Source organism: Homo sapiens, chromosome 12 (genome assembly GCF_000001405.40).
Source record: "Homo sapiens chromosome 12, GRCh38.p14 Primary Assembly".
In the NCBI taxonomy this organism is placed as follows: Eukaryota; Metazoa; Chordata; class Mammalia; order Primates; family Hominidae; genus Homo; species Homo sapiens.
In genome coordinates this window covers 51,927,187-51,943,775 of record NC_000012.12, presented here as the reverse complement: position 1 = coordinate 51,943,775, position 16,589 = coordinate 51,927,187, and the positions used below count along the sequence as shown (strand labels likewise).

The 16,589-nt window shown below is 45.9% G+C and overlaps 2 annotated features.

The window, feature by feature from the left end:
• Positions 1,815-2,389: an enhancer, noted in NCBI's record as "H3K4me1 hESC enhancer chr12:52335171-52335745 (GRCh37/hg19 assembly coordinates)". NCBI's record gives its function as "activates a minimal SCP1, AML or CMV promoter by ChIP-STARR-seq in naive H9 embryonic stem cells {active_cell/tissue: H9 hESC(naive)}" and the evidence as "EXISTENCE:reporter gene assay evidence [ECO:0000049][PMID:30033119]".
• Positions 2,390-2,964: an enhancer, noted in NCBI's record as "H3K4me1 hESC enhancer chr12:52334596-52335170 (GRCh37/hg19 assembly coordinates)". NCBI's record gives its function as "activates a minimal SCP1, AML or CMV promoter by ChIP-STARR-seq in naive H9 embryonic stem cells {active_cell/tissue: H9 hESC(naive)}" and the evidence as "EXISTENCE:reporter gene assay evidence [ECO:0000049][PMID:30033119]".

Sequence of the window (16,589 nt, the reverse complement as noted above, 5' to 3'; positions counted from 1 at the left end):
CTTGATGATTAATATATCAGTTTCTATCTATCTGGGAAGGCCAGTGGCCAAATGGGATTGCTCTCCTGGTCATTTTCCTTTTGTTGTGGACCTCACAGCTTTTGCCTATCTGGCTGGTCCCCTCCTGCGATGCTACAGTCCAGAACCTTACACAACACATCTCTGGGACTACTGGTGGTGTAACCTCCCTGCCTCCTGGTCACCCTCCTTCCAGTCCGCAAGGCACCCTGCAACATAACTGTATTCTAAGAAAGCCTCCTTCATTTTGTCTGTCATCTGCCTTCTTCAGAATCCACAGGCTCCCTATGGCCAAGCCAAAAGCTTGGCTTTCTAAACTAAGAGGGGATTTAAGAAATGATTCAGTTGGACTCCCTTGTTTCACAGGTGAGGAATCCCAGGCTCAGAGAAGATGTGTGACTTGCCCAGGACAGAGCCAAAACTGGTAGTGAGGCCTCTACGTGATGAGAACTTACTATCCATCCTAACTCTCCTGCACATCACAATACATGCAGAGACTGCATGTACATGCTTAACCTCTCTGACCTTTGGGTTCCTCATCTGTAACATGGGAATGATAATCTTTAATTTCGGAAAAATGTTGTGAGGATAGAATGAAACTGTCGTTTATCAATTGCTAAAGGCTGTAGAGAACATTGACTCCTAAGAACTTGGCACAGATTATTTACTCGATCTTCACAGCAACCGCATGAGAGTAGTATTATTCACTCCATAGTAGAGACAAGGAACTGAGGCATAGAGGGATTAAGTAATTTGCCCAAGGTCACCTGGCTCACCCCCGTCCTGACAGCTCCTCTTTTGTCCTGGCTTCCCCCATCCACCCCCTTCTCACACACACACACACCACACAACCAAGTGCCTCATGTAGTTTTCCTCCTGTCTGGATCTCCAGAGTCTGCCGCTGTCACCTGCTACACCCACTTCTCCTAGGGGAGTTTGCATGGTCTGCCCTCTGGCCACAGATGATCGCACCAGGGCTGGGCATTGAACCAAGGGAAAGCAAGAAATAAACTGGCTGAGCCATGCAAGTCCTTTCTCATGAGCATTTGAACTAAGAAGTTACAAAAACCGAGTTACTTAGGTGGTAGCGAGCAATGGAGACTAGCTGGAAGCTACCCTGGGCCAGGGTGAGCCAGGAGAGGAGAGTGGAGCAGAGGCCCAGGGAAAGGAGAGACCAGAGACCCCTGGTGTTCACCCCAGGTGTGCTGGGAATGTGTCCATGCACACACACCCTCTGGCCTCGCCCACTCTAACAGAATCCCCAACATATAATCAGCCCAGCGTCTTCTCAGATCCCATGGGATCTGACTGTATTTTCCACTGCTGGGTTCTCTGAGATTCCCATCTATCTTCCTAGGAAATCCTCTTTTCAGTTCCACTGGTTTGAGTGTGTTTGTCCTTATAGCCTGTGAGCCCTGGCTAGAACACCAGCTCAAGTAATTCGACCAGCTCAGGGCCTGACTCCTCTGGGAAGCCTTCTCCCTACCTCTCTGTATTCGTCTCGTCTTCCCCAGACAGATCCCAAACCCTATCACAGCGGCGGTCACTTCCCTTTCCTTCTCAGCATCCAGCACGTACTTGTGGATTGGCCACATCTTCTAACTTTGGGGTGCCATTTCCAATTTTGCTCTTTGAAATTATACTATCATTATGGTTACTACTTAGTGTTCTAGCAAATCCATGTATCCGTCCATCATCTATTTATTCTTGGAACATGTATTTAGTGTCTGTGTCAGGCACTGGGCTAGGCCCTGGGAATGATGAGGATAAAGTTCTTAGTTCTTGCCCCATAGGAGTTCACAGTCCAGGAGGGAAATCCAGCTTCCTCTTGCCAAACTGGTCACACCAACACAGCCTTTGCTTTCATGATCCCAGCTACACATAAACACACACTCCAGACATGACTATTAGCCCTGTCACGTTGTCACACACACCCAAAAACAGGCTCTATCTTGTTTTCTCCTCCCCATTCCCCTTCTTCACACCGAGTGCCACCCCTGTTTCCTGCCTGGCCTCTCACTGTGCTCAGCTCTAGAAGATGCCGTGAAGTCCTTGCTCCACCCTCTACTCTCCCTCCTTTTTTGATCCTCATTCTATGGTACGGGAATTGACACTATAGTCTAAATGTGTATGTTTGTGTGTGTGCATGCATGTGTGTGTGTGTGTGTGTGTGCGCGCGCGCGCGTGGGCCTTTATGCTATTTTAAGACCCCAGCACTTTGCAAAAACCTGATGGAGAATCCTGCCAAAGCCCAAGGGTGGGGGAGGGGAGGCTGGGCAATCTGAGCCTGGGGCAGACCGGGCGTCTGGGGAGCCAGGTTAGCAGCCGCCAGCTGCAGAGCCTGGGCTCAAACTGCCGCCATCGACTGCTGGTTTCCTGGCCCGCGCCAGCCCAGCCTGACCCGTTCTGTCCACCTCCTCTTTGCCATGCCCAAGTCCTCATTCCTCTCCATGGGTTGCTTGGGAGTTTGCACACCAGGCATCATGTAAAATTGTTGTGTTTCTGGAAACACATACACATGCAGAGAAGCCTTGAAATTCTTCTTGGAACAGGTCCAGGGATTTATTTATGAAATTCCCAGGGGGTGAGAGAGACAGAAGTCTGGACTTTGCAGACTGAGTGCTGTGCCGTCATCTTATCAACATAACCACCAGCTCTAGTGTGCACTTACTAAATGCCCACTGCGTGCCCGGGCCAGGCTGGAGGGGGCTTGTGGGGAGCACAGGTGCTCAGTACTGCAGGCAGCAGGGATGCCTTCTCTCCCCAGAGGAAAAAAACCAGACATGGTATTGACATGTTTTGGGCATGGTCCCCAACTCTGACCTCCCTGCTCTCTCTCCCAGCAGCCCTATCTCCTCACTTTCTTGCTCTCCTTCTCTCTCAGTCTGCAGGCTCTCTCTCTCTTACCCACCTTCACTTTGGAGTCCATGCTGTCCTGTGGATGGGTGTGTGGGTCTTCCAAAGAAGGGCTTCGAGGGTAACATCTACAGCAGGGAGAAACTGTAGTGTGCTCAATGCGCTACTCCAATTCTTTGCAGTATGGCATGGAGAAGAAATGGGGTTTATGTGCAGGCATGGCAGGGTCTGCAGAGGCTAGAGAAAGCTGGGGTGTCCAAGCCTCTTAAGATAGTTTCCACTGGGCGCGGTGGCTCACACCTATAATCCCAGCACTTTGGGAAGCTGAGGCGGGCAGATCACCTGAGGTTGGGAGTTTGAGACCAGCCTGACCAACATGGAGAAACCCTGTCTCTACTATAAATACAAAATTAGCCAGGCATAGTGGCGCATGCCTGTAATCCCAGCTACTCGGGAGATTGAGGCAAGAGAATCGCTTGAACCTGGGAGGCAGAAGTTGCAGTGAGCCGAGATCACACCATTGCACTCCAGCCTGGGCAACAAGAGTGAAACTCGGTCTCAAAAAAAAAAAAAAAAAAAAGATAGTTTCCTTGTCCTGCCCAAGGACTTTAGGTGGACGCTTCACTGGGAACTAGATGGTCCCCAATCTGATCAGACTGATGATGTTGGGGATAGAACCTTTGCTCTGCTTCCAGGAACCAAATGTGTAGAGCTTTCTGCAGCAAGACAGGTCAACAGGTCTCTGCCCCTTATCTAGCCCACCATCTCCAAGAGAACCCGGCAGGACTTGAGGCTTCTGTTGCCTCCCTTTAATTCAGTAGGGGTGGGTCTGAATGTGTCTTTAGTTTCCCATGTACACCCTGCCTTTGAGGGGAAGCCATATGATCAATATCTGTGGAATGACCGATTTTATGCAAATGTAATTTTAGAGGTAAGCTCCCAGTGGAAAATATGGACTAGTCTATCAGAGATGAGATAGAAAGACATAGAAGGCCACTGCACTTACCACAGGAAGTGGGGGACTTTTAAAAATCAAAGGTGGCTGGGCGCAGTGGCTCACACCTGTAATCCCAACATTTTGGGAGGCCGAGGCGGGCAGATCACTTGAGGTCAGGAGTTCGAGACCAGCCTGGCCAACATGGTGAAACCCCGTCGGTACTAAAAATAGAAAAATTAGCCGGGCATGGTGTTGGGCACTTGTAATCCCAGCTACTTGGGAGGCTGAGGCAGGAGAATCACTTGAACCTCAGGAGGCAGAGGTTGCAATGAGCCAAGATCGCGCCACTGCACTCCAGCCTGGGTGACAGAACAAGACTCCATCTCAAAAAAAAAAAAAAATCAAAGGCCACCACCATCTAGAAAATAATCAAGTCAGGGGAAAGGTAATGAAATATACTAAGTCACTGGAGCCTGAGCAACATAGTGAGACCCTGACTCCACCAAAAAAACGTTTAAAAATTAACCGGGCATGGTGCTGTGTTCCTGTAGTCCCAGCTACTCGGGAGGCTGAGGAAGGAGGATCACTTGAGCCAAGGAATTTGAGGCTGCAGTGAGCTGTGATCACGCCACTGCGTTCCAGCCTGGGTGACAGAGCGGGATTCTCTCAGAAAAAAAAAAAAAAAAAAGACAGAAAAGAAAAGAAAAAAACAAACACTGGAACAACAATAGGAAGAGTCCTTTAGGGATGACAGAACTTTCCCTACTCTACTCTAAGCAGCCTAGGCTCCCGGCTCTGAAGTTTAGGCTCCCACTTGGTTTAGAAATAAAAAACCCAAAACATCCCAGGGGTCTCACAGACCTCAGGAATTCTCTCCCTTCCTTGGGAAGCCCCAGCCTGGTTACACAGAATGAGTTGGGGTGGGGAGATATGCCTTCCATGCCTTCCAGCAGCCTCTCCCAGGTAAGGCAATCAGGTGTGGGCAGGCTCACCAGCCTGAGAAGCCTGTTGTGAGTAGGCGGGCCCATTCCTGGCTGAGAGGAGGGCAGCGTCTGCCTGCCAGGGCCTGTGTTCACGCCCATGCATGCGTGCATGTGTGTGTGCATGTGTGAGTGTCTGTGTTGGGAGAGGGTTGGCACGGCACTGAGGACACAGAAATGTATCCCACTCATATCTCTAAAGCTAGCCTACGCTACATGACCCTTCTCCCAGGCTTATGGGAGGATAGGAAGGCTCAGATCTATTTCCTGGCATCTTAGTAGCAACCATGGGCTTTGGGTTCAGACACATCTGAGTTCAAATTCCAGCTCTATTACTTGCTAGCTGCGTGATTTGGGACACATTGCTTAACCTCTCTGACCTTTGGGATCCTCATCTGTAACATGGGAATAATAATCTTTAATCTTGGAAAAATGTTGTGAGGATAGAATGAAACTGTCTTTTATCAATTGATAAAGGCTGTAGAGATGAGAATTATGACTTCCAAGGGGTCCATAATGCAGGCACTGACGTCAGACTGCCAGGTTTGAACCTCACCATACCTCTGTCACCTCACCTGTAAAACATGGATAACAATGGTACCTACCTCATTGTCATGAGGATCAAATAAGTCAATACATACACAGCACATTTAATAGTATCTGGCTATTGTAAGTGCTCAAAATGTGTCAGCTTCTAGCACAGAGCTGGTGCTCACTCCTCTCTCTGGTCCATGTCCCAGGACCCAGCCCCACTGCAGAGCCCCTGTCCCAGCCTGCCCGGCCTGTGGCTTCTGGCCAGTTTTTTCTTACAGTAAAATCTGTTTTTTCCTCAAGCTGGTCCTTCCCAGGCATGCTGTTGTCATGGGAACCTACAGAGGCCGCCTGGGTTTGGGGGAGAAAGGGGTTGTGGATTAAAGCCAAAGAATCCTGCCACTGCTATTGCAGCCAGTGCAATAGTGGGATAGCCACCATTCTAGCCCTCCAGAATAGAGCCAGATGGTGGGGGGCCAGAAGGGGAGTTTATCTGGAGGTCCACTCCTGCCCTGGCCTCATCTGCTGTTGAGTGGGCCCCTAATCACTTAGCACCGGCTGAGTGGGTAAGACCCTATGATTCAATACTCTCTGCCACCATTCCTCTAGCACCTTTTCAAAAATGGAGCTGGTACTAAGCACTATTGTTTCCTTGTCCTTGTAGGGCTAAACAGAATCATGGCTTAGAGTAGGGCTTTAGAATTGATTTACTGCTCCTCTTTACCTTCAAGACAAATGCGCATCTCCAGAGCAGAGACAATTAGCTTCATTTAACAGATGGGGAAACTGAGGCCTCAGGCACCCAAGTAACCACCTGAGTCATTTAGCCAGTGAAATGTGGAACCGAGACCTGGAACCTAAGTGTTTGGATCTTTGCCATTACCCCCAAATGCCTGGGATCTCTGTCTCAAAAAAAAAAGACCTATCCACAGAGATGTACATTGCAGCATGATTAATGATAGAAAAATCAGAAAGCACATCTATATAGGGGATGGTTTAATAAATTAGATAATACACTATTAAATATTATACAATCATTAAAAGGATTGCAAAGTCTGTGTAGAAATATTAAAATGTTAAGTAAAAAATACTAGACACAAAATAGAATATGCACCATGATTATAAGTATGCAAAGTATGTATGCAATGAAAATATCTGCTTCAATTTGATGGGGTGAGATTATGTGTAATTTTTTTCTCTTTTCGAAGTTACCAAAATATAATACTTTGCCTTTTCAAGCAAAACAAAACAAAAAAAACTCTTGGGATGATATAGGGTTAAGAACTCGGCCCTATTTCTGAAACGATTATAAAGAAATGGGTGCAGAGAGTTCCAACATCCCTCCCTCAGTCCTTGCCTCATTCATCTATTGAGTATATATTAAGAATAATTTTTTATTGAATATCTACTATATGTGTGCATATCTCGTTTCTAGTTTTCACAATAATTGTTTCACAAAATAGGTAAATTACTTAGGACTTTGTTGGTTTCATGTAATGAAAATCCATGCTAGCTATTTAAGGAGTTTTTTTTTTTTTTTTTTTGATACAGGGTCTCACTCTGTTGCCCATGCTGGATGCAGAGCGCAGTGGTGCAATCTTGGCTCGCTGCAACCTCTGCCTCCTGGGCTCCCACCTCGGTTCCAGAGTATCTGGGACAATAGGCATGCACCACCACACCCTCCTGACTAATTATTTTTATTTTTATTTTATTATTGTTATTATTTTTTGAGATGGAGTCTCACTCTGTCACCCAGGCTGGAGTGCAGTGGTGCCATCTGGGCTCACTGCAACCTCTGCCTCCCGGGTTCAAGAGACTCTCCTGCCTCAGCCTCCTGAGTAGCTGGGATTGCAGGTGCCCGTCACCACACCTGGCTAATTTTTGTATTTTTAGTAGAGATGAGGTTTCACCATGTTGGTCAGGCTGGTCTTGAACTCCTGACCTCATGATCCACCTGCCTCAGCCTCCCAAAGTGCTGGGATTACAGATATGAGCCACCACACCCAGCTACTTGTTTGTAATTTTTGTAGAGATGGGGTTTCCCATGTTGCCCAGGCTGGTCTTGAACTGCTGGGCTCAAGCGATTGGCCAGCCTCTGAACTACCAAAATGCTGGGATTACAGGAGTGAGCCACCACGCCTGGCCTTAAGGAGATTTTTTTTTTTTTTTTTTTTTTTTGGTTTAAGGGTGCGGGTTTCTCACAAGCTCAGTGCAGCTGGCCTCAGTCAGTCACTGAAACCAGGACATTAAATGTGCAAGACCCTTTCTCTGTTTCCACTGTCTCTTCCTCTCTGGGCCTGTGCTTCCTTTGTGCATTGGCTTCCATCTACTCTTATGCAGACCAGCTTTTTCTGCTTCCCAGCCACACAGGAACATATGGCTACTGATATATAGCCATTGGGTCTACAGTCAGTATAGCTGTATGGGAAAAGAGTCCAGTGTGACTCTCTCTGGGTTCCAATTCCTAACTGGTGATGTAGCAGCTGATGGTCCCGACCTCTGGCCCAGTAATCTGTGGGGAGTGGGCTGCATCGTGTTGGACTAACATGGTGGCCAGGAACCACCATCGTCTCTGTGTGCATAGGGAAGAAGGGTCAGTTCTCAGAAAAAGCGGGTGAGAGTGGGTGGGTGGAGATGGGTCAAGTGATTGAAAAGAGAAATCAACATATGGAGACATGGTGAATATTATGATGCCTCTCTCTGCAGATGAGGACTCTGAGGCTCAGAGAGGTTGGTTGACATCCTTAAGTTTTTACAGCTTGAAAAGAACAGAGCTGGAATTCAAACCTATGCCTGCCTCTCTCCAAAGTCCACTCCATCACACCACCCACACATGTGCTGGTAAATGCAAGTTGGCCAGGCTAAGAGTGTCCAAGAGGGGATAGTATGTGTAGAGGCCTGGTGGCAAAAAGGAACTGTGGGTCTAAGGAGCTGAAAGGGACATGAAGAGAGAGGAGGACTATGGAGGGAGATGTGGCCAGAGCTGTAGGCCAGGTCAGATCAAGCAATAAGGGCCTATTAATAAGGAGTTTGCACTTTAACCTGAAGGCAGTGACACTCAGCAGATAGCATTATGGAATAACAATTTGCATTTTACTTTATTTTATTTTATTTATTTTGGAGACAAAGTCTCACTCTGTTGTCCAGGCTGGAGTGCAGTGGCATGATCTTGGCTCACTGCAACCTCTGCCTCCCTGGTTCAAGCAATTCTCGTGCCTCAGCCTCCTGAGTAGCTGGGACTGCAGGCGTGTGCCACCACGTCCATCTAATTTTTTGTATTTTAGTAGAGACAGGGTTTCACCATGTTGCTCAGGCTGGTCTCAAATTCCTGAGCTCAGGCAATCCACCTGCCTCAGGCTCCCAAAATGCTGGGATTACAGGCATGAGCCACCACGCCTGGCCAACAATGTGTATTTTAGAGGAACTTCTCCAGCTACAGTGTGAAAGACGGACTGGAGGGGTCAGGATGCAGGAAACCAGGAGGAGGTCCCACCACCCTAGGTGAGAATGATGGTAGCTAGGACCAGCGTAGGGACGAAGAAAGGTGGACAGAGTTAAGATATAACAGAAGATAGGATGGACAAGACTTTGTGTTCATTGATTGATTGGGGCTAGGGCCTTTGGTGATAAGAGAGAAGGAAGTCCTAACAAATCTCATGTGTTTATTGGCTAGTTATACCAGTCTTGGAATATTGAGGACAGAGCAGGTTTGGGGAGTTCTGTTTCAGACATGATGAGTTTGAGAGTCCTGGGAGCCATCCAAGGAGCCATCCAGAAGGAGCTGGGCCTTGAGGTCTGGAGCTCAGGAGGGAGGCATGAGCTGGAGACACGGATCTCAAAGTAACCAATGAGCACTAAAGGCAAGGCATGATGTGCTCACCCAGGAGATGTCTGGAGAGGGAGCAGAGGAACTGGGCGCTAGGAACATCAGCATTTAAAGGAGAAGCAAAGAGAAACCTACAAAGAAATCTGAGGAACCCTGCAGAGAGGTAGGAGGGAGATGAGCTGAGTAGGGTAGGAAAGCCAAGAGGCAGAGTGGTCACTGGAATAAGGAATGACTGGGAGGGTCCGCTGGATTTAGCAACAAGACCAGTGGTGACCTCCAAATGATCAGTTTCCATGGCAAAATCAGGGGGCGTGGGCTGAGGAGTGAGTGGGAGGTGAGAAGCTGGCTTTTCCAATAAATGTGAGCAAGAAGGGGAGGAGGAGGGAGTCCAGAGTGGCTGGAGGGGTGTGGGCTTGAGGGTTTCTCTTGGCAGCCAGTTGATGCCTTGTGGGAAGGACCTGATGGAGAAGAGTAAGTTGAGAATTCATTCAGAAGAGTGAAAGGTTATTAAGAGTGAAGAACCTGAGGCCGGGCGTGGTGGCTCACACCTGTAATCCCAGCACTTTGGGAGGCCAAGGCAGGCGGATCACCTGAGGTCGGGAGTTTGAGACCAGCCTGACCAACATGGAGAAACCCCAGCTCTACTAAAAATACAAAATTAGCTGGGTGTGGTGGCACATGCCTGTAATCCCAGCTACTTGGGAGGCTGAGGCAGGAGAATCGCTTGAACCCAGGAGGTGGAGGTTGCAGTGAGCTGAGATCGCGCCATTGCACTCCAGCCTGGGCAACAAGAGCAAAACTCCATCTCAAAAAAAAAAAAAAAAAAAGAAAAGAAAAGAAAAGAAAAGAAAAAGAGTGAAGAACCTGAATGGGGGGCTGGAAAGGTAGAAGGAGGAAGCAATAGAGACGCAGGTGAGTTCATAGGTTTGTTGTCTGCCATTGAGGGCATCTTAGGGCTTCTCTTTTCTTTTCTTTTTTCTTTTCTTTTCTGATGGAGTCTTGCTCTGTCACGCAGGCTGGAGTGCAATGGTGCAATCTTGGCTCACTGCAGCCTCCACCTCCCGGGTTCAAGTGATTCTCATGCCTCAGCCTCCCGAGTAGCTAGGATTACAGGCACCCACCACCACGCCTGGCTAATTTTTGTATTTTTAGTAGAGACAGGGTTTCACAGTGTTGTCCAGGCTGGTCTCGAACTCCTGGCCTCAGATGACCCACCTGCCTCGGCCTCCCAAAGTGCTGGGATTACAGGTGTGAGCTACCGCGCCCAGCCTAGGGCTTCCATTTTATTTATGAAGAATCAAAGTCAGCGTGGGGAGATTCAGTTGTTGGAGAAGTATAAAATGTTTGAAAGAGACTTATTGGAGGATCTGAGAGCCACAAAGAGGGTTGTGACTCTTAGATCCTCCAATAAGTCTCTTATTAGAGGAGTGATTGTGATAAATCTGTTTTTGTGGTCTTACCTCAACACTATGGGGATTAGATTCTCAAATTCACACCTGAAACACAATAAAAGTGCAAATCTGGAAGAATGGTGGAAAGACCAGTTTGAATAATGAATATTGATCAAAAAAAATAAAAGAAGAAGAAAGAGAAGTAATTTTATTCGTTTCAGGTACATACAGTAACACAAAATATTACCTAGTGGTTGGGAAAGAATCATTTGTAATTAGCATAGAAATTGTTTGCAATGTAAATGAGTGTTTCTGAAGTACTTGACTATGCTTAAAAACAGTACTTTAGTATTTTAAGAATTCCCCTTGTGGGGTGAAACCACTTTATATCTATTTTAAGACCTTGTTAAGTCTGCTTAAATGTAGTTAATTTTTTTTTTCTGGAAAAGATACTGGCTACATCAGAAAACAGTTTCTGGCAAAGGTAAGATTGTGCAACTGCACACTGCACAAGCGCTTTCCAAAGGCCATTTCCACCAGAGAGCAGATCTGATTGCCGGAGATTGTTACTAAGGGAACAGCGGGGCATGAATATAAATTTCATTTCTCTAAAGACCTAACTAAAGTATTGATCCAAAGGGAGCAGCCAGTGAATACAGGATGAAGAGGCTTTTTCTAATTGAAATAAATAAATATAAACATAGAAGTATACATATATATAATCACAGGTTTTCACCTTTTCACCTTGCCTTGCAAATCTCTCCTATTTAGCTGCAGCCCAGATGAGGAGGCCAGAGAGATAAGAGAGCCAGGAGCTGGGGAGCAAAGCAAGAGGTGTTGACACCAAGCTGGTCTGCAACTCTGCAGAACTGAACCTGCAAACACTATCGGCAAGGATAGCATACTATCATTAGCATTATTTTTATTATTGAACAACAATTCTGGCCAGGCCTCTTGCCCAACATGATCCCAGTCCTCACAACCACCTTACATATTATCCCCATTCTGAATAGGAGGAAACTGAGTCCCTGGAGGTTCTGTTATGTTTCATGCCCAGGATCTGAGGCTCTGCAGTTGTTAATTTTTTTCTTTTCCCTCTATGGTCTTCAGGTTAATCACGGGGTAACATGTTATCATCCTTATTCTGTGCAAGGTAACGAGGCCTCTCTTAGATCTTATTTTCCAGCTCCTTCTCCAATCCCCCTTTCCATCTCCATCTATCTTGCTCTCCTCACCCCCAGGCACTCTAGTGAGCTTGCTCCATGTCCTAAAACGTATGCATATCCTTGCTAAGCATATAATGTTGTTTTGAATATGTATGCATCCTAAACTTATATAAAAGGCATTGTGTTATAACCCTCATTCTCTTTATTTGCCAATCCCATATTTTTAAGGTCTATCTATGTTGCTGCATATATGTGTGGTTAATTGCTTCCAATGGATGACATCGTATTCCGAACATTTTCTTATCTGTTGCCCTAGGGATGGACACCAAGGTTGGTTCCAGTTCCCTGCTACCACAAGCAACAGTGTGTTGAACTTCATCATGTCTCCACTTGTGGACTTGTATGAGAATTTCTAGGAGATACATGGTTGACCCTTGAACAAGGTGAGGTTTGGGGTGCTGATCTCCCATGCAATCAAAAATCTGTGTATGACTTTTGACTCCCCCACAATTTAATAATAGTCTATTGTTGACTGGAAGCCTTACTGATAATGAACAGTCAATTAACACATACATATGTTATATGCATTATGTACTATATTCTTAAAATAAAGTAAGCTAGAGAAAAGAAAATGTTAAGAAAATCATAAGGAAGAGAATATATATGTGTGTGTGTGTGTGTGTGTGTGTGTGTGTATATATACGTATATATATATATATACGTGTATATATATATATATATACGTATATATATATATATATATACGTATATATATATATATATATATATATATATATTTGAGATGGAATCTCGCTCTGTCACCCAGGCTGGAGTTCAGTGGTGCGATCTCGGCTCACTGCAAGCTCCGCCTCCCTGGTTCAAAAAATTCCCCTGCCTCAGCTTCCCGAGTAGCCAGGATTACAGGTGCACACCACCACGCCTGGTTAATTTTTTTTGTATTTTTAGTAGAGACGGGTTTTCACCATGTTGGCCAGACTGGTCTCGAACTCCTGACCTCAGGCAATCCACCAGCCTCGACCTCCCAAAGTGCTGGGATTACAGTCGTGAGCCACCGTGCCTGGCCAGAAGAGGAAATATATTTACTATCCATTAAGTGGAAGTGGATTATCATAAAGTCTTCATCCTTGTCTTCATGTTGAGTAAGCTGAGAAGGAGGAGGAAGAGAAGGGGTTAGTCTTGCTGTCTCAGTAGTGGCAAAGGAGGATGGAAATCTGCATGTAAGTGAATGCATGTAGCACAAACTTGTGTTGTTCAAGGGTCAACTGTATACCCAGGAATGGTATCATGAGGCCAAATGGCATAGGAATACCCATTTTTACTAAGTAATGCTAAAAAGTCTATGCCAGTTTATACTTCTACAAGAACTGCACAAGAGTTCTTATTCCCCCACACCCTTGACAACTCTTAGCATTATCCACTTTTCTCATTTTGCCATTTTGATGGATGTTAGTTGGTATGTCACTTACATGTACATTTCTCTGATTACTAGTGAGTTTGAGCATTCCATTCTATACTCGTTAGCCATTTGGGCTTCCTCTTTTGTAAATTAACTCTGCATGTCTCTCGCCTGTTTTTCTCTTGGGTCTTACTGATTTGCAAGAGTTTTTTATATATTGTAGATATTAACGCCTCAACAGTTTTAAGGACTGTAAATATCTCCTTCCAGTCTACCATCTATCTATGAGTTTTATTAATTTTTCAATGTTAAATATATATAGTGTATAATTGAAGAGTGAACTGATATAGTCATGTTCATATTTTTTTTTACAGTTTGCACTTCAAGGGTCTTCTTTTTTTTTGAGACAGAGTCCTGCTGTGTTGCCCAGCTGGAGTGCAGTGGCGTGATCTCGGCTCACTGCGACCTCTGCCTCCCGGTTCATGCGATTCTCCTGCCTCAGCCTCCCGAGTAGCTGGGACTACAGGCACCCGCCACCACGCTTGGCTAATTGTTTGTATTTTTAGTAGAGATGAGGTTTCACCATGTTAGCCAGGATGGTCTCCATCTCCTGACCTCGTGATCCACCCGCCTCGGCCTCCAAAAGTGCTAGGATTACAGGCGTGAGCCACCGGCGCCCGGCCAAGGGTCTTCTTTAAGTCTTTCCCCAACCTTGGGTCACAAGGATGTTCTCTTACACTTTCTTTTACTAGCCTTATAGTGTGGCCTTTTACACTTTGGTCCTTAATCCATGTGGAGTCCATCTTTGTAGACGATGTAAGGGAGAGTCCCAACTGCATTTTCTATCTGAACAGTGTTCCAGTATTTCCAACACTATCTAAAAAATCTGGCCTTTCTTCCCCATATTTTAACAGCTTTATTAAGATATAATTTACATACCATACAATTCATCCATTTAAAGCACATAATTCAATGACTTTCAGTATATTCACAGAACTGTAAAACCATGATCACAGTCCATTTTAGAACATTTTCATCACCCCCTCACAAAACCCTGTATTTTTTAGCCATCATCTTCACTTTTTTTCTTTTTTTTTTTGAGACAGGGTCTCACTCCATAGCCCAGGCTGGAGTACAGTGGTGTGATCTCAGCTCACCGCAACCTCTGCCTCCCAGGTTCAAGCAATTCTTGTGCCTCAGCCTCCTGAGTAGCTAGGATTACAGGTGTGCGCCACCACGCCTGGCTAATTTTTGTATTTGCAGTAGAGACAGGGTTTCACCATGTTGACCAGGCTGATCTCAAACTCCTGACCTCAGGTGATCTGCCTGCCTTAGCCTCCCAAAGTGCTGGGATTACAGGCGTGAGCCACAACGCCCAGCCTTCACTAATTTCTGATGCAACCTTTATCACATAACAGTTTTCAGATGCATATGGATTTGTTTCTGAGTTCTTTGTTTTTTGTTTTTTTGTTTTTAAGATAGGATCTCACTGTCACCCAGGCTGGAGTGAAGTGGTGTGATCATGGCTCACTGGAGCCCTAGACTCCCACCCGACCAGCGGGCTCAAGCAATCCTCCCGTCTCAGCCTCCTGAGAAGCTGGGACCACAGGCATGTGCCACCATGCCTGGGTAATTTTTTATTTTTTATAGAGACAGGGTCTTGCGATGTTACCCAGGCTGGTCTTGAACTCCTGGGCTCAAGCAATCCTCCTGCCTCAGCCTCCCAAAGTACTGGGATTACAGACATGAGCCACTGCGCCTGGGTGTTCCTGGGTTCTGTTTCGTTTTGTTTTGTTTTGTTTTTCAGACAGAGTTTTGCTCTTCCACCCAGGCTGGAATGATGTAGCATGATCTCTGCTCACTGCAACCTCCACCCTCCAGGTTCAAGCGATTCTCCTGCCTCAGCCTCCCGAGTAGCTGGGATTATAGGCACCCGCCCCCACGTCTGGCTAATTTTTGTATTTTTAATAGAGACGAGGTTTCACCATGTTGGCCAGGCTGGTCTCGAACTCCTGACCTCAGGTGATCCACCTGCCTTGGCCTCCCAAAGTGCTGGGATTACAGGCGTGAGAGACCGTGCCTGGCCTGTTCCTGGGTTCTTTAACATGTTCTACTTGTCTATTTGTCTACTTGTCTGGTACTATTCTATTTTTCTGTGACTTGTCTTATTGTCTTCTGGGGCAAGTCTCCCCCTTTGCACTTCTTCACAACTGACTTGGCCAAATTCACATTTCCTTTGACCCAGGAATTCCACTTTTTAGAATGTATCTTACAGAAATACTGGAATAAAGGAAAATAATGTATACACAAATTTATTCACTGCAGCCTTGCTTATAATGGCCCCAAACTGGAAAAAAACAAAACTTCCAAAAATAGGGGACTGGTACATTCAAAGAGTGGAATACTACACTGTTTTAATTTTCTGTAGGGACTAATTCTTTCTTTGCTGCCCAGGTTGGACTCAAACACCTCGGCCTCCCAAAGGGCTGGGATTATAGGCATGAGCCACCACACCCGGCCTTTATTTCTTTATTTTAATTTTTTTTTTTCATTCCCACACTACTCCAATGTAGATGCATTGGCTTTTGAATCATGTGAATGCATAACATAGTCAGAAAATAACCCAAAATAAAGAAAATTGACTTAGTTATTCATGAACTTATACTCTTCCATATAAATTTAGAATAAATTTGTCGAATTACTAAAACAACAGGTAGGCTAGGCGTGGTAGCTTGCACCTGTAATCCTAGCTACTCGGGAGGCCCAGGTGGGAGGATGACTTGAGGCTGGGAGTTTGAGGCCAGTCTGAGCAACATCTGAGTAAGACTTCTATCTCTAAAAAAAATTAAAAGTAAAAAAAATTAGCCAGGATGGTGACATGCACCTGTAGTCTCAGCTACCCAGGAGGCTGTCTCAGGAGGATTGTTTGAGCCTAGGAGCCTGTGACCGGCCTAGGTGATATAGCAAGATCCTGCCTCAAAATAAATAAATAAGTAAGTAAGTAAAATCCAACAAAACAGCTGGAATTTTGTTTTTGTTTTGTTTTGTTTTATTTTTTGAGACAGAATCTCACTCTGTCTCCCAGGCTGGAGTACAGTGGTGTGATCTCAGCTCACTGCAACCTCCGCCTCCCAGGTTCAAGCAATTTTCCCACCCCAACCTCCAGAGTAGCTGGGATGACAAGTGCCCACCACCGCGCCTGGCTAATTTTTTGTATCTTTAGTAGACATGAGGTTTCACCATGTTGGCCAGGCTGGTCTCAAACTCCTGGCCTCAAGTGATCTGCCCGCCTCAGCCTCCCAAAGTTCTAGGATTACAGGAGTGAGCCACTGGACCAGGGTAGAACAGCTGGAATTTTGACTTGGATAAAACCCTTTGCTCTTTACTCCTCTGCTCCTTCCACCAAGTGTCAAAAATGCAATGAGAGATGTGAGGGCCTGAAACCAGGATAAGGCCCTAGCTGGGTG